At 49.5% G+C, this 22,568-nt stretch overlaps 1 protein-coding gene, 1 long non-coding RNA gene and 1 other non-coding gene across 4 annotated transcripts, besides 13 other annotated features; 1 reads left to right on the top strand and 2 right to left on the bottom strand.

Annotated features, from left to right (window-relative positions):
• Positions 361 to 660: an enhancer, noted in NCBI's record as "active region_8479". NCBI's record gives its function as "activates an Ori minimal core promoter by ATAC-STARR-seq in GM12878 lymphoblastoid cells {active_cell/tissue: GM12878}" and the evidence as "EXISTENCE:reporter gene assay evidence [ECO:0000049][PMID:35858748]".
• Positions 741 to 1,010: a silencer, noted in NCBI's record as "silent region_5814". NCBI's record gives its function as "represses an Ori minimal core promoter by ATAC-STARR-seq in GM12878 lymphoblastoid cells {active_cell/tissue: GM12878}" and the evidence as "EXISTENCE:reporter gene assay evidence [ECO:0000049][PMID:35858748]".
• Positions 2,205 to 3,039: an enhancer, noted in NCBI's record as "OCT4-NANOG-H3K4me1 hESC enhancer chr14:61121650-61122484 (GRCh37/hg19 assembly coordinates)". NCBI's record gives its function as "activates a minimal SCP1, AML or CMV promoter by ChIP-STARR-seq in naive H9 embryonic stem cells {active_cell/tissue: H9 hESC(naive)}" and the evidence as "EXISTENCE:reporter gene assay evidence [ECO:0000049][PMID:30033119]".
• Positions 2,205 to 4,888: a biological region, named in NCBI's record as "VISTA enhancer hs1602".
• Positions 2,238 to 4,490: an enhancer, noted in NCBI's record as "VISTA enhancer hs1602". NCBI's record gives its function as "enhancer in: dorsal root ganglion[6/6] | branchial arch[6/6] | facial mesenchyme[6/6]" and the evidence as "EXISTENCE:transgenic organism evidence [ECO:0001131][PMID:17130149]".
• Positions 4,120 to 4,888: an enhancer, noted in NCBI's record as "H3K4me1 hESC enhancer chr14:61119801-61120569 (GRCh37/hg19 assembly coordinates)". NCBI's record gives its function as "activates a minimal SCP1, AML or CMV promoter by ChIP-STARR-seq in naive H9 embryonic stem cells {active_cell/tissue: H9 hESC(naive)}" and the evidence as "EXISTENCE:reporter gene assay evidence [ECO:0000049][PMID:30033119]".
• Positions 4,889 to 5,658: an enhancer, noted in NCBI's record as "H3K4me1 hESC enhancer chr14:61119031-61119800 (GRCh37/hg19 assembly coordinates)". NCBI's record gives its function as "activates a minimal SCP1, AML or CMV promoter by ChIP-STARR-seq in naive H9 embryonic stem cells {active_cell/tissue: H9 hESC(naive)}" and the evidence as "EXISTENCE:reporter gene assay evidence [ECO:0000049][PMID:30033119]".
• Positions 8,338 to 8,577: a silencer, noted in NCBI's record as "silent region_5813". NCBI's record gives its function as "represses an Ori minimal core promoter by ATAC-STARR-seq in GM12878 lymphoblastoid cells {active_cell/tissue: GM12878}" and the evidence as "EXISTENCE:reporter gene assay evidence [ECO:0000049][PMID:35858748]".
• SIX1 (SIX homeobox 1) lies at positions 8,494 to 14,550 on the top strand. Of its 2 annotated transcripts, none has more exons than NM_005982.4 (2): positions 8,494 to 9,341; positions 11,394 to 14,550. In NM_005982.4, exons 1-2 carry the CDS (start codon positions 8,782 to 8,784, stop codon positions 11,686 to 11,688), a joined length of 855 nt encoding a protein of 284 aa, NP_005973.1. In that variant the 5' UTR covers positions 8,494 to 8,781; the 3' UTR covers positions 11,689 to 14,550. The 2 variants fall into 2 exon arrangements, with proteins under 2 accessions (NP_005973.1, NP_001412071.1); NM_001425142.1 differs by having other exon boundaries at positions 8,494 to 9,282; positions 11,394 to 13,272.
• Positions 8,588 to 9,208: an enhancer, noted in NCBI's record as "H3K27ac-H3K4me1 hESC enhancer chr14:61115481-61116101 (GRCh37/hg19 assembly coordinates)". NCBI's record gives its function as "activates a minimal SCP1, AML or CMV promoter by ChIP-STARR-seq in naive H9 embryonic stem cells {active_cell/tissue: H9 hESC(naive)}" and the evidence as "EXISTENCE:reporter gene assay evidence [ECO:0000049][PMID:30033119]".
• Positions 9,209 to 9,830: an enhancer, noted in NCBI's record as "H3K27ac-H3K4me1 hESC enhancer chr14:61114859-61115480 (GRCh37/hg19 assembly coordinates)". NCBI's record gives its function as "activates a minimal SCP1, AML or CMV promoter by ChIP-STARR-seq in naive and primed H9 embryonic stem cells {active_cell/tissue: H9 hESC(naive and primed)}" and the evidence as "EXISTENCE:reporter gene assay evidence [ECO:0000049][PMID:30033119]".
• On the bottom strand, positions 9,260 to 9,323 carry MIR9718 (microRNA 9718). Its single transcript, NR_162089.1, has one exon. It is a non-coding gene; the product is annotated as a microRNA 9718 (primary transcript).
• Positions 9,831 to 10,452: an enhancer, noted in NCBI's record as "H3K4me1 hESC enhancer chr14:61114237-61114858 (GRCh37/hg19 assembly coordinates)". NCBI's record gives its function as "activates a minimal SCP1, AML or CMV promoter by ChIP-STARR-seq in primed H9 embryonic stem cells {active_cell/tissue: H9 hESC(primed)}" and the evidence as "EXISTENCE:reporter gene assay evidence [ECO:0000049][PMID:30033119]".
• Positions 10,453 to 11,075: an enhancer, noted in NCBI's record as "H3K4me1 hESC enhancer chr14:61113614-61114236 (GRCh37/hg19 assembly coordinates)". NCBI's record gives its function as "activates a minimal SCP1, AML or CMV promoter by ChIP-STARR-seq in primed H9 embryonic stem cells {active_cell/tissue: H9 hESC(primed)}" and the evidence as "EXISTENCE:reporter gene assay evidence [ECO:0000049][PMID:30033119]".
• Positions 13,505 to 14,067: an enhancer, noted in NCBI's record as "OCT4-NANOG hESC enhancer chr14:61110622-61111184 (GRCh37/hg19 assembly coordinates)". NCBI's record gives its function as "activates a minimal SCP1, AML or CMV promoter by ChIP-STARR-seq in primed H9 embryonic stem cells {active_cell/tissue: H9 hESC(primed)}" and the evidence as "EXISTENCE:reporter gene assay evidence [ECO:0000049][PMID:30033119]".
• On the bottom strand, positions 17,555 to 18,755 carry SALRNA1 (senescence associated long non-coding RNA 1). The gene has a single exon (NR_126480.1). It is a non-coding gene; the product is annotated as a senescence associated long non-coding RNA 1 (long non-coding RNA).
• Between the last annotated feature and the right edge of the window lie 3,813 nt (positions 18,756 to 22,568).

The following is a 22,568-nucleotide window of genomic DNA, read 5'->3' as shown; positions in this document are numbered from 1 at the left end:
TCTGCGTGTGCTCCCCGACCAGTTGGTGATGGTAAATGAGAGGGTCTTCCATCTCTTTGCTGTTCCTGGGCAATGCGCGGCCAAAAGCATTGCCACTTGCTGCGGCGCTTCAACGCGAATGACTGGCTGGGGTCGCGGCTTCCGGCCGCAGATTCCACGAAACCGAGAAGCCAACTCGGCTTCATGAAAGGAGATCCCGATTTCCCCGCTCGCCTCGGGCAAATTGAGGCACCTCATTCGCCAGCGAAGCGTCGCCGTCCTTATCCCAACGCCTCCAGTTTTTGGAGGGAAAAAGTGAGGGAGGGATGGCCCTAAAAGAAGGCGATTATGGAAACAGCTAAAGAAGCCAAAGAAAACTCCCTCCTCGCGAGTGCCGTCCGGGGCTACGTGGCGCTGGCGAAGCCAAGGTGGGCTGAGCGGTCCCCAGGCTTTGGGCCGAGAATCCGCTCCGCTACCCCAGACCCTTCCCGCCGCGCGCTCTTCACTCCGGGGACTCGGCGGAGCAGATTTTCTTTCTTTCTTTTTTTTTTGTTGTTGTTGTTGTTTCGGTTCCTGCCGGCCAGGCGAAAACTCCTTTGCCAGGAAGACAGCGCCCTCTTTCTCCTCCGGCCGCGCCGCCGCCGGCCTGCGCCGGCTCTCCGCTCCACTGACCTCCCCGCGCCTCGTTGTGGTCCCCGCCCTTCAGGCCCCGGCCCCTCTTCCCTCAAGCCCCGACGCCTGTGGGCCCCATGCACCGCCCGAGGGAACAACCCCAGAGAGCGCCGGGCCAGCCCGGCGAGATAGCGCGACCTCTGGCTACAAGCCTGGGCGGAGTCGGCCCCGGCGCAGACGCGGCGCCCAAGAGCTCCCGCACAGCCCGGGGAGGGAGTTTCTGGTGCAGGCGGCGGGGCGACGGGTGAGGCCCAGCTCTGCGAGACCCCGCTCTGCGAGCCAGCGGGCGGGGCCGCCAGCACACCGGGCGGTGAAGCCTCCCCGGCGTCCGCGCGCGGATACTTGGCTGCGCGCGCGCACCTGGCACAGCGAGTTATACTGAGGCTCAGGATCAGTCCGCGAAACGTGGACCCGGGCCTGCACGAGGGTTGATGGGTGAGGGTGGCGGGTGAACTTGAGTAGAGGTAAGGAAAGATCTTACGGCCTTCTTCCTAGTCCTAAAAGCGTCCCTCGCAGCCCGCCTGCTTGCTGGCAGCCTCACCCTGCTGGCTTCCAGGAGGGCTTTGTCAAGCACTGCAGCGGTGTTGGAAACCTTGTTGCAAAGTCCAAGCCTAAGCGAGTGGGCGAGACGCGCAGAGGGGCATGGATGAGTGGGCACCTTCCCAGCACCCTCTACCCAGTATCTCTTTTCCCACTGCTCAGAGGACTGGTGATTCAGACAAACGCCGCTCGGCCCTTTTGGGAACAGAGGCGGTCGAGCTTCTGTCTGCGAAAATCTGGATCCTTTAGAACCCGAGCAATATGCTCGTGTGAGAATGCAAAAACAGATCCCACGGCTTGGGTATGCACCGACTGAGGTACAGGCCTGAAGTGCTCCCATCCCCCGAATTCCTACCCGCTTGTGGGAGCCACAGGGGTAGTTTGCTTCCAGCTGACCCTACTGTACAACACAGGCGGCTCCCAGAAATGCACTAATTGAGTCACAAACCACTGGCCTCCACTAACAAAGCGATCCATCTCAGCAGCTCAGCGCCCAATTTGTCCGCAGCACTTTCTTCCGCAATTCAGAAGCATTATCTTGTTTTAAAAAGTATCACGGCAGAGACGTGGCAATTATCCTGAGCTCGGGTTACACTAAATGGCTTAGGCTGAGAAATGGAAGAATACAAATGCCGCGAACGTGCTGATTGCCTCGCTGCCGAGCCTGGACCGGGGGTAGGGGAGGCGAACTAGAGCTTTCGGCCGGGGAGAAGGGAGGCAGGCGCAAGTTCCCACTTGTGGTCGTCTCCGGGTGGCACCAGCGAGAAAGGAGTGTTGGCCCTTTATCTCTAAAGGCTAAGGATTCCCAGCGACGAATCCCCAAAGGTCGAGGGAGAAGAGGTCATATCCCAACATGACCAGGCCAAGCTTCTGGTCTCAGGGTCTGGGGTTTGGGTCAGGAACAGGTTGGGAACTTCAGGCACTGCTGGGATGAGGAACAGGAGAAAGGTCAAGGGTTAGTGAATGAGATGGGGGCGGGGGGGCGGGACAGAGATTCCAGTTTCTCTTCAGGACACCCACTCTACAATTGGGCAATTGGGGAGGAGGAAGGCATTGGGAGAAAACAACCCGAAGGAAAAAGAAGCTGGCTCTTTGCAATGGGAGAAGGGGTTCACTCCTGAACTAGGGGCAGGCCTGCGCCTGGGCGGACGCTGTAGGGTGGGAACGCTCGATAACTGGAGAGTCCCAGAGACCACCAGGCCTTTCCGCACCAGGAAAAAAAAAAAAAATCTGCTCTGAGAATCTTCATCTCGGTCCACCAGGGTGAGTTTGGGCCTGGAAAATGGGGGAAAGAAAAGAGAGTAGCGAAAGGTTTTCGGGTTGCGGCGCCCCGCGTGCAGACGTCTGCTCTCCCCAGCCGCCCAGCCTGCTGTGGCAGCCACGCTGTGCGCGTGTCTTTATCCTTCAGTTCAAACCAGCCCCCACATCTTGAAGTAATCAGCAGCCGAGAAGAGACTTGTCCCCCTGGCATCTCAGGTTAAAGAAGGAGGTCCAGGAAAATGTGGTAGAGCCATTACAAGAAACCCGAGCCGCAGTCATCAGGGACTCCAATTGCCATCGCATTAGGATTGATTAGAGACCAGCAGTACCGTAATGACCCGGAAAGAGGGGCAGCCGGGGATTATTAATATCAGAATGCGGGGGTGGGGGGGGAGTGGGTGGGCAAAGTGGGTAGGGAGAAGTTTCAAATTACTAGGATTTATATGTAAGTGCAGGTTTACCTGAGGAAACCAGATAGTCAGTGAATCACGCTAACGATAAATCTAATTGCATTTCAAATTTCACGAAGCCTGATTTTTTTGGAGAGTGGAGTAAAACCATCATGAAACCAAGCCAATATCTTAGTTTTTATAAACACATAGTTTTATAAGCTTATTGTAAGAATTCAAGTGAAGAGATGGGGAGGGGTGCTAAATGTCTGCTTTCCTTGTCACTGGGCCTCCTTACCATTTGGACTCCAAATAGCTTGATTTTTCTTCTCGTGGGAGTACATTTTTGAGTCGCTTTGGTTCTTCCCTCCAGGGATATGGGGCAATGGAGTGGACATTTTTTCAGAGCCTGCAGAGGAGTAATAAACCAAAATTTAAGTGAAGCAGTGATACCTGGGTAGTGGTTTTTGTTTTTTGTTTTGTTGAAGACATGAATGATCAGGATCCCAAGGAGATGTGGAGAAGAGTGGTTTGTCTCCTTCCTCCAAATATGAGCCAAAACAAATCAGCCCCTGATGGTCTGGGCTGAAATGCAGCTCACTGGATAATTAACTCCATCTTTCCAGTCCACCCTAACTGTTTATTTAGTGTCACCCTGCATTACCGTCACTAGCACTTTCCTCTGAACAGGAGGAGCTGCAGGCTTTCACCTCCCAAAAGGAAATTCTTTTTAGCTTAGACAGATGTGGTATTCAGGATGTACATAAGTTGAGAAAAAAAAGTTGATTGGAAATTCAATGGAAGATAGCGGTTTTGGAGAGTTTCATTTCATAAACCTGCCCTAAGGAGACATTTTAAAAAACAGGGAATGGGGGGTGGGGCGCAGAGTCCCTTTAATTCTTAAGAATTGTTTCTTGTGACACCTTGGCTCCACTTTCCAGAGAGGTAGTTGGCATCTGATGTTGAGTAGGGTCTTCTAGCTCAAACCTGGCGATTGGTCAGAGCTTTCTCAGAGGGCAATTTGTTAACCCTTTTCTCCCCTAGGTGGCCAATACACCTTTGCCCGCCCTCCGTGCAGGCTACACCATCTATTGCCCGCCCTCCACTCCCTGTGAAAGGTTCTCGCCAAGTAAGGCCTACTACACCGCCCAGACTTGAGGGTCTACTTTCAAGAGAACTTACCTGCGCTGCCTCAGTGGGTGACATAAGCACACTCTGTGAAACCTCACAGCGCCCAGTCCCGGAGAGAAAAAAACGAGCGCCCAGAGCCGAGGGGAAGGGAGAGGGAGGGAAGGAGGAAGAAAGAGGAGGATGAGAAGAGGAAGAGGAAAAACAATGAGAAAGAAGAGAGAGAGATAAGGAGAGAGAATGAGAAACAGGTTCACATACAGACAGAATGAACGAGCGTCCTCTTTCAGATGGAGAAAAGAGTTAGAGACACACTCTGGGAAAGACCTGCCACGGGGACACACGTAGAGGGAGAGAGAGAATAACTCTTCCAAAGACACACACCCCAGCTCTGTTCCCCTCCAGTCTGAGCTCCCTCCCAGTGCTTGACCCTCAGTCGGTCCATCAGTCTGTGTGTGTTTCTCTCTTTCTCCCTTCCCTGACCTCGAGACAATACGGAGATGGTATTTTCGGGAGCCGCGCGGGGCGGCAGGGTTTTCAGCGGCGAGCCAGGCTCACAGCTGGCTCTGTTTGTCCAGGTGTGGGCGGTGGAGGTGGTGGGGGGCGTCAGTCGCCCTGAATCTTGGGCCAGCGCAGCGTTTTCGCACCAAAGAAGTAGGAGGCTCTGCTCTCGAGCTTCCCGCTTCCAGGAGAAAACTTCCTCCCTCCATACATACATAAATACACTTGGGGAAGAGACAAATCTTCATTGTTCAGAAATAAGCTGAGGAGGCCCGCCTGCTCCCCTCAGCCAGGCAGAGCGAGGCAGGGAGGGAGGCGGGGGCCGCGCGGATCCGGTGTCACGTTGCAGATTCCCACTAAAGATAACGAAACGTGATCTATTTTTCAGAACAGCAAGTGGATGGGAAAGAACCTTGACAACACAAAACTCATTTACTAATGGACTGGTTTTGGGTTTCTCTTCTCTGAGTCCGCAAATCTCTCTGCCTGAGCCCCAGGCCTATTCAGACCTCGCGGGGAGCGGCGTCCCCCAGGAGCAGGTGGGCTGCTGCTCCGGCGCCACGCCGGCCATCGGAGCCGGAGTTCCCAAGGGTCGAGGGCACCCGGAGTTTCCGACTAAGCAGAGGAAAAAGAATTTTGGCACTTCAGCCGGATTTGGGGAGTCTCCGCACTGCCCCAGAGCGATGACACGAATTTATTGAAGAAACACCTCTCTATGCCCTCCCTTTCCAAATATTTGTAGGTAGAGTAGAATCCTCACCGTCGTTCTGGATGGTGAAAGAATTCCAAGAAAGCGGCCCGGGAGCCCCTAACTATCTTGCTACAAGCCAGAAGGGAAACAAGTGGGTCCCAGCTAGGGGTGTTTGCATCAAGGCCTGTCAACCCAGCCGAGAAACCCTAGCAACAGCTAATGCTGTCCCACTGAATGCTTTTTCATCGACTAAAGCGCACGCGGCCGTTACCTGCACAGAGGAGGCACTGGAGAGCCGAAACCTGGCATCGGGCGCTCCTTGCCAGCGGTGTTCCCTCCCGAGCCGCGCTGCAGCGAGGGCAGCAGCCGGCTGGCTAGAGTTGCTCATTTCCTTTAAATCTCCAACGCATCTCTGCTTTTCGTGCGATTTGCATTGACAGCAAAGGTTTTATGTTACGAGAACAACTCAAACCTTTCTGTGTGCGATTTAAAATGGATCATTTAGTTTAGGTGGTTTGTAAATTCATGTCATTTTACCTCTTTCAGCGGTTTTCAGTGAAAGGTTCCATTTTGGGAAACCTTATATATCCGAGCCAATAATTAACATTTATAACAATTGGTTCCCCTAACCGAGGGATCGAAATAGCAGGTAGACTCCTTGGTATAAAGCGCATAGCACTTTCCCTTTCCAGTTACGCGATCTATTGGATTAAGCGGGAGGAAAAATGTTGGCCGGCCCAGTCACGGCCTCCGAGGAAGAGCACCTCTTTTCTGCCCGGGTTCCCGCAATCACACCTTCTACACGTCGTCTTCCCAGATGACGGCAATGTAGTACGTCCTGGTTCCTTTTGAAGACAGATAAAAAGAAATGGGCAGGTAGGTCTGGAGGAAGCCGGGAAAAAAAGGTGGTCCTATTTGTGTCTAATTGCCATCTCTGCTGTCATCCTCTGTAAATTTATACCTGCCCTTATTTGTGCAGGCTATGCCTCATTTCCTTATACAAAATTGTTAATTACAAAGCACACCCCATACTCAACATACTGTTTGTCTTTTAAGAGACGTGGTTGTGCTTAAAGACCCTCCCCCCATTGTAATTGTGCGCACTTGCTCCAGACTTTAGGGTATTAACTGATTTTTAGAGCCGGGTTTAAGCCTCCGTTCCGGTCCTCACACAGCTGCCATGTCAATAAGGACTGTTTCAAGCAGAGGCATTCCTTCTGGGAGGGCACTGCAGCTCCTTAAGACTTCATGTGAAACATCATAAGCACTAAAATAAGACAGTGAGGGGAAATTACCAGACATGGCTCTGGGTTTAGCAGTGCCAGGCTTCCAGTTTAGAAAGTCATTGGGCATACTATATGGCAGAGGCTCTTTTGAAAGCATGCACACCTATTAAATGCATTTTTTTAAAAAAAAAGCCTAAGGTAATGAAATATCAGCATCTGCTTCCAAGATCTAATTGCATGGAATAAGCAAGAGTTTCAAGGATGCAGAAAACATTATGTTCAGCAGAGAAGCAGCTTCCTGTCTACTTGGAATCTCCCATGTGGCAGCCCTGAGGTGGGAACCCTTTATGAGTTTAGAATGTATGTTGCAGGGTGCACTGTACTGGGTGCATCATTTTAAAACCATATTAATAATAAAAGAGGAAACCAAGACATGCTTCTCCTTCTCCCACTTGCATCTCAATATGCAAAAGGTTCTGTAGTGCTGGGCTCTTTGGCTAAAGGAATCAAAACATATTTGAAGAAGACAAGCCAGTTTAAGGAGCCTACAGTTTGTTCTTCACCACTCACTAAGAGGGCACATTGAAATCAAAAGCATTTTTGAAGTGTACTTAGAATTCTGTTTTGAACTTATCTAATCAGAGATAAGTATAGTCATAAAGTCACTCTCCTTCCACCATTTGGCTTCCCTTATCTCCACGCATTGTTCTTATCTCCTGCTAGTCTCAGCTACTGACAATAGATTATCTTTGTTTAGAGAGGCTAATTGTTTTCAAAATCCTTTTAATTATTGCTTTGGAACTAGGTGTGCAAATGAGGCTTAAGATAATTACAACTTCACTTGTTTGTGCAGTTTTACTAAGCATTCTCCACACATAAACAAAACAGCAGATGATGGGACTTAAATTGCAGTGCATCTCTCATTCCCTGGCAGCAAAATAGGCCAGCATTGCAACACACACACACACACACATACACACACACACACACACACACACACCTCTTTATTTAATCTTCTTGGAGCCGCTGTCGTTCTCGCTTTGAGGGCAGTGTCCCTCTCAGAGCAGGGTAAGGATTATATTACAACCGGACGGTTATTGGAGCCGGGCACAGTTTTATTTAATTTACACCACATCCAGCGCCTTTCGTACGAGGTTCCCAAAGCATTTTTGCTAATAGCAAGTAAAGCCTCTCGGCATTCCTCAGTAGCAGAGGTGGCACTGCAAAACACAACCGCACAGATGGGGAAATTGAGTCCAGAAGCTTCAGGAACCTGCTGGTTTCAATCGCAGAACATTAAGATACCAAATCACAAATGAACGCTCGGAGTCTCTAGGTGCTCAGCAAGTATGCTCTAAACAGCTCTCTGCCTGGTCTCAAATCATGGAGGTCTTTTGTGAACGAGGGAAACGCTGTCCGACTGGGAGTACTTGTGCCCTTTGGAGGGTGGTGTGCAGCAGTGGGGGGAGGACAGTGGTAGTTGGTGGGGGGAGGGAGGAGGAAATAGGGTTGGACTCCTCGAGCTGAAGCCAACCCGAAGCCACTCTTCCAGAGGCTGCATGCGCGGACCCTGGTCTGCTCTTGAATTATTTATCGCGTTCCATAAGCTATTCATCAATCCATTATTTATTCATTCCAACATTAAAGTAATTAAATATGAGCTCACCGGGAGAGGGCAAGTCTGCAAGGGATGAGGACAAGAGTACGGAGGGAGAGGGGAGGAATTAAGGTTTGGAGTCATTGATTTGTGCGGAGTTGTGCGCGACTCCCCTTAGGTGATACTGGCGACGGGTCCCGCGTTGCAGGGTCCTGACGCGCTCACCCACTCCCTACCTCCCCACACCTCCGCAGCGCAGCTCCCTCAGACCCCAACTGGCTTCCCACCTTTCCTCTTCCTTCTCCTCCCACCACTCCCTACCCGCGCAGCCCCGGCAACACCCCCAACCCCCAGCTCCGCAGCCTCGCCCTCCCCGCTCTGGGCGGTGCGGCCTCTCTGCCCAGCCGGGCGGCGCGCTGGCTGGCCAGCCCCGGATAGGCGCCGCCGGCAGCCAATCAGCGTGCCGGGGACGCTGCGCGCTTTAAGGCCGCTGCGGGGAGAACAGAAACCAAGTTCCCCGGCAACTAGCAGCATCCACCGGGCGGGAGGTCGGAGGCAGCAAGGCCTTAAAGGCTACTGAGTGCGCCGGCCGTTCCGTGTCCAGAACCTCCCCTACTCCTCCGCCTTCTCTTCCTTGGCCGCCCACCGCCAAGTTCCGACTCCGGTTTTCGCCTTTGCAAAGCCTAAGGAGGAGGTTAGGAACAGCCGCGCCCCCCTCCCTGCGGCCGCCGCCCCCTGCCTCTCGGCTCTGCTCCCTGCCGCGTGCGCCTGGGCCGTGCGCCCCGGCAGGCCCCAGCCATGTCGATGCTGCCGTCGTTTGGCTTTACGCAGGAGCAAGTGGCGTGCGTGTGCGAGGTTCTGCAGCAAGGCGGAAACCTGGAGCGCCTGGGCAGGTTCCTGTGGTCACTGCCCGCCTGCGACCACCTGCACAAGAACGAGAGCGTACTCAAGGCCAAGGCGGTGGTCGCCTTCCACCGCGGCAACTTCCGTGAGCTCTACAAGATCCTGGAGAGCCACCAGTTCTCGCCTCACAACCACCCCAAACTGCAGCAACTGTGGCTGAAGGCGCATTACGTGGAGGCCGAGAAGCTGCGCGGCCGACCCCTGGGCGCCGTGGGCAAATATCGGGTGCGCCGAAAATTTCCACTGCCGCGCACCATCTGGGACGGCGAGGAGACCAGCTACTGCTTCAAGGAGAAGTCGAGGGGTGTCCTGCGGGAGTGGTACGCGCACAATCCCTACCCATCGCCGCGTGAGAAGCGGGAGCTGGCCGAGGCCACCGGCCTCACCACCACCCAGGTCAGCAACTGGTTTAAGAACCGGAGGCAAAGAGACCGGGCCGCGGAGGCCAAGGAAAGGTACGCGGCGTGCTTCCCGCGACTCGGGCGACCCTAGGAAGCCGTCCTTTCTCCTCCGCCCCCTCCCGCCCCCGCAGGCACCAGCCACCAAGTCCTCCCCGCCGGCCGGAGCCCGTCCACGGGGCGGCGCGCAGGCCCTCCGCGGCGCTGCAGCGAAAGTTCATGAACTCTGAGGTTCCTTGCTAAGGATGGGGCCTCATTTGCTTTGAGCACCCGCGCGTGGGTTTCTCTGGGATGTGAGTGTCGGGAAATATTGGCGCTAGATTTGGTCTTTATGCCTCCCTGGCTGGCCGCGGCTATGAGTGGTGGGTGGAGAGTGAGTTTCTAAATCAACGGGCAGTGAAATGTTGATTGGTGTCGCAAGGAAAGGGGTTTGGTGGGAGCTGAGGTTCGCGAACCTCTCTCCTCTTGCTCCCCAGAGGGGTGAAGCTGGCCTGAGACATTGGCTCTGCCCCCACTCCCGCCTGGTTCTCCACAGCTCTCTCTTGATAGTCTTTTGGTTTAGAGGTAGCCTGCTTCATTTCTCACTAGCTGGACAAATGGAGGAGACTTTTAAAGATACAACAAAAAGAGAGCTTTGGGGAGAGTTGGCGCTGCATTTACTCCCCGGCGCCCCAAATTAAGAAAGGGTTGATCCTCGCCGTGCTCGCTCGCGCGTGGCCCGGCACTGCAGCCCGTCGGTCTGGCTGACCGCGCCGCATGCCCAGACGAGGAAAGGGTCTCCAGTCGCAGCCCTCTCTCGCACTGGAGCTCACAAGGCAATATTTTAAAAATTGGTCTCTACTTTCCCCCACCTCGGGGCAACACCTTCGGCCACCTGGGCAGGCTCCTTCTGTTCTCTATAGCGTTTCGGACAGAGATTCAGAAGGACGGTGGGGAGGTGGCTGTGGCGGGGAGAGCGCTCCGCGAAGCCAAAGAGTTTGGGGGAAAACCTGAGCGCAGGGGCCGGTTAGGTTTTCCTTTGTTCGCTTCCAAGACTAGGGGCCGAAGATCTTGCTCCCTTTCTTGTCTTGGTGGAAAACCAGAGCCAGGATAAATTCTGCTGAAATGGGCTTGTCGGGAGACAGAGACTGTGAGGATAAGGGGAAAGAAAGGAGACAGACAGGCGCTAGGAGTCGGGAGGACTGACGAGCACTCGGAAGGCGGAAGCGGCGAGGGAAGCGAAATCCTGAAGTTAACCGGTACCGAGTGCCCGGACTGACGCCCCAGCGCGCCGCGCCCGCTGGCAGCCTGTGCGGGGCGGCGAAGTTTCCCCTGCCCAGAAAGGATGGGTTGGGGTGGGTGTTGGTAGGAAGTTTGAGAGGGGGACACGAGGGGCTGAAGAGTTAGCAAGTAACACAGGAACAGGGATTGTATGGTTGCAGTTAGCCTTTAGTTACAAAACGGCCGTCCTATAAGCCAGGCCCGAGGGCCGACTCCAGATGAAATCAGAGACTGGCTGCGCTCCCTGTGTTTACTCAGGTCACTGGGCCGCGCTGGGCACCACTTCCCATGACCTGTTCTGTGTCTGCAAAACCACCAACTCTGGGCTGGGGCAGGAAAACGGGATGTTTAATTGTCTCCTCATATGCGAACAAGGCAATGGACTTGATTCACCCCAAACATTTGTGCATTGGACTCTGTCCTCTATCATTTCTTTATCACCAATATCTATTTATTGAAAGATTTTCAGTTACATTTAAATATGTTGCTAGTTTATATGTATTTAAATGTAACTGCTTGAACAAAATTTAAAACATATATTTTGTATGTTTCAAATAAATCCTGCTAATCTATCACTTTCTGAAATCTGGAAGAGAAAAGGACCTGGCTCCTAACAGGAGGCTCTGTCCGTAGCTCTCCATTTCTCCAGGTTCCTCTGACTCCTCACCTCCCCCATTACCCTTGGGGATGGGTGGAAGGGTAGAGCTCCTCCATTTGGGTTGGTGACAGATTGCACAATGGCCCTTTCCTCCTTCCAGCTCCCCTCCCTCCATCTCACACTTTTTTTTTAACCTACTTTTTTTTTTTTTTTTTTTTTTTAACCATATGGTGTTGTCCTCTATTTCTTAGGGAGAACACCGAAAACAATAACTCCTCCTCCAACAAGCAGAACCAACTCTCTCCTCTGGAAGGGGGCAAGCCGCTCATGTCCAGCTCAGAAGAGGAATTCTCACCTCCCCAAAGTCCAGACCAGAACTCGGTCCTTCTGCTGCAGGGCAATATGGGCCACGCCAGGAGCTCAAACTATTCTCTCCCGGGCTTAACAGCCTCGCAGCCCAGTCACGGCCTGCAGACCCACCAGCATCAGCTCCAAGACTCTCTGCTCGGCCCCCTCACCTCCAGTCTGGTGGACTTGGGGTCCTAAGTGGGGAGGGACTGGGGCCTCGAAGGGATTCCTGGAGCAGCAACCACTGCAGCGACTAGGGACACTTGTAAATAGAAATCAGGAACATTTTTGCAGCTTGTTTCTGGAGTTGTTTGCGCATAAAGGAATGGTGGACTTTCACAAATATCTTTTTAAAAATCAAAACCAACAGCGATCTCAAGCTTAATCTCCTCTTCTCTCCAACTCTTTCCACTTTTGCATTTTCCTTCCCAATGCAGAGATCAGGGAAAAAAAAAAAAAAAAACCCAAACAAACAAAAGCACCCAGGCACCCAGTCTGAGTTCTGGGCAACTGATACGCCTGTTTCAGCAGCCTTTCTTTTTTTTCAATGAATGGGAATTGCAAATCAACTGGATTTTCATTATTTCCTTTTAATTTATATATGGAGAAATGTGAAGAGGGAAAGGAAATGGAAAGAGAAAGAGAAAGGGAGATAAAAATAGTGAAAATAAGAGCCTCCAGGCTCAGAAGAACTGATTACATTCTTAAGGTGAACAGGAAAAATACAATCTATAACTTTCTTTGATGAGGAAAAATTAAGTTTACATTTTTCATATTTAGTGTTAAACAATTTAATGTAGATTAAAATAAAAGACCAGTATTAGGAGGAAAAAACAAGTGCCTAAATGTCTTAATGCTCTCTATGTGAGACAGAAATAGACGTGACCATTAGTAATGCAACTATTTTTGTCAAATTTAGTGGGATTTTTTGGTTGTTGTTTGTTTTCTTGGGTTTTTTTTTTTTAAATGACAAACTCTAAAAATGTACCAATGTGAAAAAACACTTTCCTGAATGCCATTACTCATGCCCTCAAAGCTTTCATATCTGTAGCCTACTCCTGTAAAGGGTTTCTCCTGTTTCTAGTTTCTAGTTTGCAAAGGTATGCCAACGAATCTGGCAACCTGGTATTTGTTACTAAAACAGCATGTGTTTTCAGGTTTCTTTTCTATTGTACCTAAAGCAGTCTAAATTAAAACTTAGTAGAACACCAGGAGTATGATTCTGTTTCTGAAAGGTGAGTGGTGTATTGCTGTCATTGGGCCCTATTTTTTTTTTTAAATATATTTTTCTTTCTTACTTAATGGTGGCTGTGAATTGCAGGGTACTTTGAAGGCCATCATCTGAACCAAGAGTAGTAACTAGATTAATTATATGACAGAAAGAGTGAATTTAGCCTTGGGGTATTTATTAACTTCTATTATTTAGATATGCAATTTTGTTTACCACTATCTCTTCACAGCATTCATATGTTAACTAAGCTCTTTTGTGTTAACAAGTTTATGACAAGACTGTGAAAGTAAAAATAATTTATCTGCTTGAAGACAAAAAAGGGAAGGAGAACAAGGATAGAAACATTGTGAATTAATTTGTACAAATAGAAAGCAGACCAGCAGGACAGGAGCTCTTTTGCAGTGCTGCCGGATGGTGTCTAGAAAAATCCCAGTAATCATGTAGGCTCCATATTATTTTTGCCTGGGGCAAAATGATGTATCTTCTGTATTTAGCTTTTAAAATTAGTGAAACAAATGGCATTATTTATTAAAATTCTACTCAGGATAACAGGATTGGCTTGCTTGTGCTTTGTAAAATATTGTTCCCCAGGGAGAATCTATTTATTTTCTGACATGACAGTTTCATAATTTTGATTTTTTCCCATCTATAATTGTCACCATTAATATATTATTTCTTTCTTACTCTTTCCTATTTCTGTTCTGGTCTAGAAAACTGAGGTGTGCTTGGGGAAATCAAGGCCTTATTTTTTAAAACTGTCAAATAGCTTTGAGTTCCAGGGAGAAATGGTCACTGTACTTAACTGTACACACTTTTACTTATAAAGTCGTTTTTCCCCCTCAGTGATGGACAGATGTGCACACAGCCACTCAGAGACCATCATTTGGTTTGGGAGCTCAGGGTCCCAATCTCCCTTGTTAGTGTTTTGGATCATTAAGTCGGTGTTTATTTAAGTCACTAGGGTGTTTATTCTCCCTGTCTTGGGCCACGGAGAAATGCCACCCTCTGCAGGAGGGGCTCTCACAGGGAATCTCCTCACATTCTTCACATTCACTCCCCAAAACAAACACCCTGCACAAAGATAGCTTTCAATGACCCTGACAGGCTTCAAAGGACGCTGCGGAAATCTCTCTGGAAAATAGGAAGGGCCAATTACTTTAATTTCTTACATGCCGTCTCTTCCTACTCCGGTGACTACCCTCCACTCTCCCAGCTCCGCCTGGGATAATTTTAGGCTCGTGGAAGTTGTGTCTCGCAGGGCGCCCCGGCCCACTTCCTGCTCCCTTAGTTGGTGAATCTTGGAAATGTCTGCAGATCCGGCGAGGAGCAAGAGCGCTGGTCCTGTAAAAGCCCCCGTGATTACTGCTTGTAAACTTGTTAAAAGGACAATTTTCTGTCACAGTCATAAACTCTTTGTAAAACCCCTGGCACTAAATCCAGAGCGCGCATATTCCAGATGTGTTTAATAAGAAATTGCACAATGTGCCTCCTTCCGCCATCCTCGGCTCAGTCTGGGTAAAAGGGGCGAGCAGGAGGAGGCGAGAAAGCTGGATATTGCTTTGAGTTTTTTTGGCAATCATTTCAGAGAGATCATTAGGGGAAACTAACCATATTTTTTTCTTCCCTCGAGGAAATCTTCGAGAACCAGCTGTTAAGGGACCTCCAGTTTACCTTCTGGGCGTCGCAGTTTAACTGAATCTAAAGCCACTTTTCGTTTCTCCTCTACAGATGTCATAACGGTAGCCAAAAGTAATGAACAACGGCTTATAAATAGTTTGTAGGACGAAACCATACAGCATTGTGCCAAGTGAAATGAAAAAAAAAAAAAACACTCGAGTGATGTTTATTTTTTAACGTTTTAAACCTAAACACGCGATTGTTCGAGTCCCCACTCTCTGCTCGCCTTGACCTCTTGGCTGAAAACGAAGCTTCCTAAATTCTCAGAGGCCAAGGGGTTTGGCTCCCGGTTCCCGAATTTTTGGCTTAGTGGGTAGGGGCTCAAGAGCCCAGCGAGCTACAGGGACGGAGAAGGGCACCGCTGGGGCTGGGCACCACCGTTCTTGAACCTGTTCTCTGGGCTAGGACAGCGTGGCTGGGGCCGGACCCCGGGCCGGAGTGGAAGCTTCCAGAAAGAAGCAGTGGCGTTGGCACTTATGGATGAGCTCTGAGTTTGCTGAGCAGCGACCCTTATTAGCGGCTCTCCCTTGTCCGCTGAGGGCCAACGGGACACCTGGCACAGAACTCGCGCGGAGCGGGCCTTCCTCTGCTCTGTGGCAGTGGCACTGCTGCTGCTGCACCGAACGCGGCGGCGGCTGAGGCTGGAGGGGGCTTCATTTCCTACTGCCTCCCCACCGCCTGCAAGTCTTTGGCAAAGTCCGAAGGCAGGACTCCAGGTTGTGGATCCAATAGAGGCTTGTATCCCGCACTTCTCTAGCGGCAGAAGAACTGAAGATCTTTTCCTGTCATCCGCGCACTTCGGAGGCTGTTCTTGCCATTGGGCCCTGGAGAGGCGCGGGAAGCTCGGGCGCCGCTGTCCTCGCTCCGCGCGGGGCAGAGCCTCCTCTCCACCGGTTCAGAGAGAATCGCGCGCATCTCAAGACCCGGATCATAGCGCAGCTCCAGGAGCAGGGGGCCTAGTGGCCCGGCCCGCGGAGTGCCTGAGAGGAGAGGCTGCCAGTATGGATTCGAAGGCCAGACAAGGGAGGAGGCCTCGGCCTGAGCTTCGTGGTACAACTCAGCTGTCGTCGCCTTGGGTACCCCGAAGCCAACTCCCAGGCCCAAGTCTCAGTCGCCCTCTTCGGAGTCTGAGAGCTAAGCTCCAGGCGAGGCACGTGAGCGGCGCTGGACACCCGGCTGCCGGGCTGGTCCCCGCCCTGTGGCGGCAGGATAAAGCCGCCCTGGCAGCGCGTTGCGCCTCCTGCCCGACCGCAGGTGTGAGCGCTCCCTGCCTCCCAGGCCCCGCGCTTCCCGCACAGGGCAGATGGCGCAGGCCTTGGATCCTGGTTCGGAGGCGGCCTAGGCCCTGCTGCCGATTCTCCAGTGCCCTTCTTGCTTCAGACACCTCCTGTCTCCTTCTTCGCTTCCTGGGGTCTTGGCTTTGGTTTTCGGACCCAAACTCTTCACCCGCGCGCTCTGAGGAGGGGTGCCAGGTAGAGAGGACGTCACTTTCTGGGCTTGTCGCTAGAACTTCCCGCGGCAGAGAGAGGGGCCCTGGCTTCTAGTGTCTCCAGCAGAACTGGGGGTGGAGGAGCTCCACTTTCTTGGTGGGGCCAGGTCAGGTATTTCCTTCTTAGCCAGCGGCCCTAGGGAGAGCAGCGGCCTTGTCCCCCACGCACAGCCCTGGCCCCAAGGGGAAGGCACCAGCCTAGGTCTGCAGCGCGCTTCGGGTCAGGCTGTCGCGGCTCACCTTCTGCCCTGATTTGTTAGGGTGGCGTTGACAGGGACAGGTGGGTTAGGTTTAAGGTGAGGGTGGTCGCTGGTAGCCCACGTGCTCTCTCCGCTCCATTTCTCTTTTTTCCAAGCTTTCCCTTGGAGGGGACTCTAAAAACTCTCGGAGACTACCTCCTTCAGCTGCCCGAAGCCAGCGCACTAGTGTGTGTCCCCACCGCGCCCCCATGGACAATTCACACTGAGGGACCCGAAGGCTCAGTCTCATCGCCTGCACGCGTGTTCCGCGACCTTAGCCAGGTAGGCACTTCTGAGCCTCTTAAGGGCATAGTGGCCCCTCCCCCATTCTGACCGAATCCAATAATTCCACCTGGAAGAATATCTAAAGGGGTTGAGTTAGATACGAGTGGTGTGAGCCAGCCAGGAACAAAAATAGCCAAAATCATAGGCGAGTTGTTGGCTATTGGTCTACCCAGAAAAAGCGCTGCCCTGGAAAGGCTGCATTTTCTCTAATATTTTAAACCAAGTACTCACACACACAACTTGGGTCCAGCTGATGAAATTGGAAACCTGTTCTCCCACTGAGGATGACAATCAGGGTTTTAGACGCTGTGGTCCTTTCAGACAGCGAGAAACAACACTGCAGTAGCGTTTAAAAACAAAGAGAAAGAGACTGCTTGAGGCGCGTGGACGCCTGTCTCTTCTCCAATGGAGTTTAAGTTTCTCGCCTTTTAACTTGTTAATGGACAGCTGAGACCCCAGTTCTCAGCAGATAGAGTCCAACCCATCACCTTAAGGTTTGCTCCCTCCCGCTTTGCTACCTGAGAATCTTCCCTCCTCCCCTCTCCTTTCGGGAGAGTGCTCACTGTTTTCCTTTGCCATATGTTAAATATTCTTGAAATAACATTCTTTTTTTTTGTGATTAAACAGAAAAATGCAGGAACAAGCAAAAACCTAAAACCCAAAACTCAAACAATCTTATCTTGGAAAGAGAAAACAGTTACCTTCAGATTTAACACATACTTAAGCTTACCTGAAGTGGCTACCCAACTGTAATTAAAGTATGGTTAGGTGATATTGGGTACTCTCCCTTCTTTACTGCCATTAGTGGTTGCCATTAAAAAGATAAATAAGTAGACAGAGAGACTCTGGCTCTTTGCTTACTATAATAAGGCATGGAAATTAGTTACTATAATAAGGCATGGAAATGTATACCACCTCCCTTCATCTGGTCCCGTCCTTTCCATGCTAACTTAGAAGATCAGTGTTTTATGAGACTGACATAAGTAGACCCAAGTAGAAACACTCGTGGATTAACACAAGGCAAATTTACTTTAAGTTTCTATATAATTTATTTTAATTAGTGATTTAAAATTGATTATTGGTTTTAAAATGCCATGGCTTATTTACAGTAGAAACATTCTTTGGTGGTGGGGGGAGGGGAGCAGTGGGGGGTTGGTGGTGGTTTAAGACCTGAGCTGATATGCATGTGGGATATTAAAGGGGGGAAAAAACAGTCTAGACTACATATTTTTACTGACATAAGCCATTAAGTGTCAGGATTCTTAAAGAATATTGAAATGTTAAAGAACATTTCATAGACATCCTTGATAGAAAATCTGCAGATGCCAGCCAGGATGCCTGTAAAATCAACCTTCTAGATGTTCTTTTCTTGTTATTAAGTGTTTTTACAAACTTAACTACTCTCCTTTTTTTCCCCCTCAAGGAAAAACTTTAGTTGCTTTGCAATAATTCAGTTTTAATTTGAGTTGCCAGTTTTCCAAATAGTCTAAATACCAGGAAAAGACAATGGGATTGTGAACACCTCCTTACCTCTTCCCTTCCACCCCCCAAAAGAGCCAACAAACCAAACCAAACCCACGTAATTGTGACATTTTGTGTTGGCCTTCACACAGCTATTATATTAAACTCTGTATGCAGTCATATTCCTCTTAACTTTTGCAGCACTTTTGCCTGTGATAGTGGTGGGGACTGGTAGTGGTGGGGACTTGGTGGAGTGCTTGTAGAGAAAATGCACATGTATGAGGGTGAGATGGCAGCCTGCAATACTTTACAAAAGGTAATTTTACCTTTAAATCAAGGAGGTAGTTACAAGGAAGACAGCATTAGCTCTGTATTTATTTAAAATGCCTTGGAGATGAAAGTAGGTAACAAGCTTTTTAAAAAATTAAGCTCGATAGAAGATCAACATGCCTTAGTATCTATGAAGTGAAAAGAACATTTAAACAATTGAAGCTTTGTCTTCAGATATGTGTGGTGAATATTTTCTATGCATTGCAGATGTTATATAAACATAACATGCTTCCTCCTAAAGTCAAGTTCTTGATTTTAATTGAAGAATAATATTGCTCAGGGCTCTACCTCTGAGTACAAATAGCTAATCTAAGAAAATCAGCTCTGGGAATCTGGAACCAATGGCTATTTTAAAAATAAACAGACAAAATCTTCATGAAGAGGACCAGGAGGATTATTTTACATACAGTATATCTCCTGATTCCTCTCTCTGTCTGTCTGTCTGTCTCTCTCTCTCTCTCTCTCACACACACACACACACATGCACACAAAACTTTTATGGAAGAACTGAAAGGCAGAATGACAATACTGGCCCCTTACCATATTTCTACTTAAAAAAAAAAAAAAAATCAGTCTGGTTGAAGATTCCCAAGCCATCTTGCCTAACTTTTCCAGTATCAATATATCTTAGAAGCAAGTCCAGATGAATTTCCTCTTTTTCTTTCTTTCTTTCTATTTTCTAGGGAAGGGAAAGAGATGTAAAAAAGGGAAAAGTAGAACTAAACAAAATAAAGATACACTTTGAAATTTGTATTGTAATATTTAATAAGTAGCCATTAAACAGTATCTACAAAAACAACGCCAGTATGCTGAACTTTCTTAGTTCAACTAAGGCAAGAAGTAATTTTTTTAAAAAAAACTGTTAGGATTAAGTTAGAATTGAAATGAATGGGGAGATTTCAAAAGCATTTGGATTTTCTAACACAGAAGCCAACATGGATGCTCAACATGATTGACTTAGGGAAGAGGCTGGGGGAAGCAAAACACTAATTTACAGAAATTTCTTAGAAATTCCTGTTGGAGTAGAGATTTTCTGTTTTAGTAGGATCAAGCCCAACTGCATTGACACCCAGCCAAGAAGGAGATGTTGAAATCTACCTGAGTTCAGGGACCACACCTGGGGCTCCATCCAGTAGTAGGACCAGGTAACATGAGAATGCCTCATTCTCTACCAGTTTCCCCAAGTTCTAAATCCTACCAAGATGAGAATCCCACAAACTAAGAAATTGCAAGGTAGGGCGGGATGTAAGATGTTCCTTCCAACTCCCATTTTGTCATTTGGTGAGAAACGTGTGTGTTTTAGTTATTTTCTAAAACCGTATTTTTAATTCCCCTGGGTGACAAGAAAGAGTTAATTTGTTTGCTGATAGGTTTCGCACTGTGGGCAGGTCTGCCAAAAAGGAGAGGAAACAGAGAACAGTCCTATGATTAATTCTACCTGTTTTTCCCATGAGCGATCACCTGCTCCAGGGGTCATGAATAGCAGGTAGCTCTCCCTCTCCTGGGCTCTGAGAGCTTCGTTTGTTTGGTGACAGCTGAGTGACAAGGCCTGAAACTCGAGCCCATCGCCCGGCCTGATGTGGGGATAAAAACCCTGGATGTTCCCTCAAACATTTCAGGAAATGAAAGTTGTAACGCGATCCCTCCTGCGCCCACATCTCCCCCAGCAAACACAAAAGCTCAAAGGAGCCTTCTCGGATTGAATTCGGCTTGGAGTTGATGGAGGGAAAGCGGAGCCCAGCACAGGCTGGGGGGAGGGCTGGGGCCGCGGCTGGAAGGCTTTCTGAGCCCGAGAAGGAGGAGGAGGAGAGCTGGGAGAGAGCCGGGCGCGTGAGGCCTGGGCCCCCCTCCGGGCCAGTTTCGCCGCCGCATCCCAGGCGCCCTGCTCCTCCAGACAGCGTGGGCAGCTGCCGCCGCCACGTTAAATCGTGTCTTTAGGGTCAACCCGGAGTGGGAAGGAAAAGCCGCTGCCTCCGGCCCTGCGTCGACCCCTGCAGGCTAGCGCGGCCTCTGCTCTAGGGGCTTGGGCCGCGCGGCCTCCAGGCCATGAGGGCCCAGAGGCCCCCGAGGGCCTCAGCGGAGGCCCAGCCCAGCCTTTGCGGCCCCTACTTGCCCGCTTGGAGGCTCCAGGACTCCAGGCCAGCTCTTAGGAGAGGCGTCCCTTCCGATCGGGCCCCGCGGGCTGGCTCAGGATGACTGCGCACAGCTCCGGCGTCCACAGCTGCAGGGGTCCGGGGTGCAACCGCCTAGGGCGCAAGGGCCTCACTCAGCTCCCTCGCGCTCGGCAGCCCCCATCAGTCAGCAGCTTCCATCTGCCAGGGGGCCTCGCCGGCACTGGGGGGTAGGGGTGGAGGAAGCTCCCAGTGGGCGGCTGAAGATGGTGTGGGGGGTGAGGGTCATGGGAGAAGGGGAGCTGAGAAGTTGGCGCTCCGACCCCCACGCGGCCATCTCTGCGTGGGCCGTAGGCGCCTGCCAATCACCACGCCTGATGCAGGCGCAGCCTAGCCGTAGATAGGAGGAAGTATACCCAGGACCCCTCAAGGCGAGTTTTCCCCCTTAACCCAAACAGCTGCGACTGGTTTGTTTTGTTACAGAATTTTCTTTTTAAATTTCCCCTTGTGTTCAGAAATCTTTCTCAGACAACATTATCAACCCCCATCTCTCTCCTCAACCTTCACGGATGATTGTTTTTTCTTTCTTAAACGTACAAACACATTGTGGAGAGAATTGATGGGGCAATGTCACAGATGCATCGCTGGCACACACAAATTGCATTGGTTTGAGTCAAGTTAACATCTCTGAGCCTCGATTTCCTCTTCGGGAAAATAGGAACTACAATATTTAGACTGCAAGGGAAGCTTAAAATTAGCCAAAGTCTTGAATGTAAAGTGCTTGGCACTATAGACGTTAAATGAATAGCAGTTATAACATGCTTGGAGCCTCCTTAGACTGCCACAAAGCCGCCTGGGAAAATTCCCGTGATGCTAGAGTTTGTAGTGAGGGCAGATTATGGCCATTTCCTCCTTTTCTGGATCACGAAAAGAAACGCAAGTTATTCTATGAAGACATAGGGCTTGATTAGACTTTGAGGGTAGTCAAAGCTGAAATTTAGTTCTTGAAACTGTGAGTCTGGAATCTAGAAGTTTAACTCCAGTAATTTAATTCCGGAAGAATATTTAAATCTGTAATGCTTGGATTTTGCTATCGCTATTTCTCATGATTTGAACTTTTACGTAAATGTCATTATATATGGTAGAATTCTATTGATAAAAAATAAAACCCACTTAAATGTGACGGAAAATGACAAATTACTTAGAAGAGAACTAAAGCATTTAGCTGAGTAGAGAATTTAAGGCCCCACCTAAATGTGTCAACATAAGTGTAGAATAAGAAACTACTTTTAAGATTTAATGTCTTGCTGATGTTAACACAGTGCTGGATATAATGGCACCTGATAAATATTTTTGAGTAAATGAATGGGCTGCTGAAATGATGGAGAGTCTTTAGATAGAACACATTTCCCAGAGTTGAAATTTTGCAAGACCCTCCTGGGTACATTTCTTCTCTTGTGACACTCTAATGATCACCAGGGATGAATAGCTCATTTTGACATATAATACATCCTTCTCTTATTTCAAGGACTTTCTCATTCAGGTATTATTGAAAGCAAAATGCATAGCTGAAATTTTCTTGGGTAAAAGTGGGAGCGGGGAGAGAGGAACAGGAAGGGGACTGTTTCTCCCTAGAATGATGCAGTGGTAGAACCAGAGAACTATTGGTAGGAGGAACAACCCCAGCACAAGTAGATATGAAACCTAGAGAGTAGGTGGAGTATGCCTGTGGTAGGTGTTTTTAAGGATGGATCCTCATGCACTGCAATCCCTTCACAGTTATTTCACTGTTATTACTACTGGAAAGATTTTTTTTTTTTGACAGGCTCTCACTCTGTTGCTTAGGCTAGAGTGTAGTGGCACGATCATGGCTTGCTGCAGTGGCACAATCACGGCTTGCTGCAGCCTTGAGCTCACAGGCTCAAATGGTCCTCCCACCTCAGCCTCCTAAGTAGCTAGGACTACATGCGTGGCTAATTTTGTTTTTTATTTTTATTTTTTGTAGAGATGAGGTCTTACTATGTTGTCCAGGCTGGTCTTGAACTCCTGGAATCAAGCAATCCTCTGCCTCAGTCTCCCAAAGTGCTGGAATTATAGGCATGAGCCACTGAGCCTGGCCTGGAAAACCATTTTTTATTTAGTTGTTTAACACTACATGTTCTTCCATCATCTTTATTTTCTTCAAAAGTATCCTGGCCAACTAAAAACTGTGTATGTTTAAATTTTAAATTTAGAGAAGTTAATCAATTTGTAGT

Source organism: Homo sapiens, chromosome 14 (assembly GCF_000001405.40).
Source record: "Homo sapiens chromosome 14, GRCh38.p14 Primary Assembly".
In the NCBI taxonomy this organism is placed as follows: domain Eukaryota; kingdom Metazoa; phylum Chordata; class Mammalia; order Primates; family Hominidae; genus Homo; species Homo sapiens.
The sequence above is the reverse complement of the archived record's forward strand: the minus strand, read 5'-3'. Positions and strand labels throughout refer to the sequence as shown.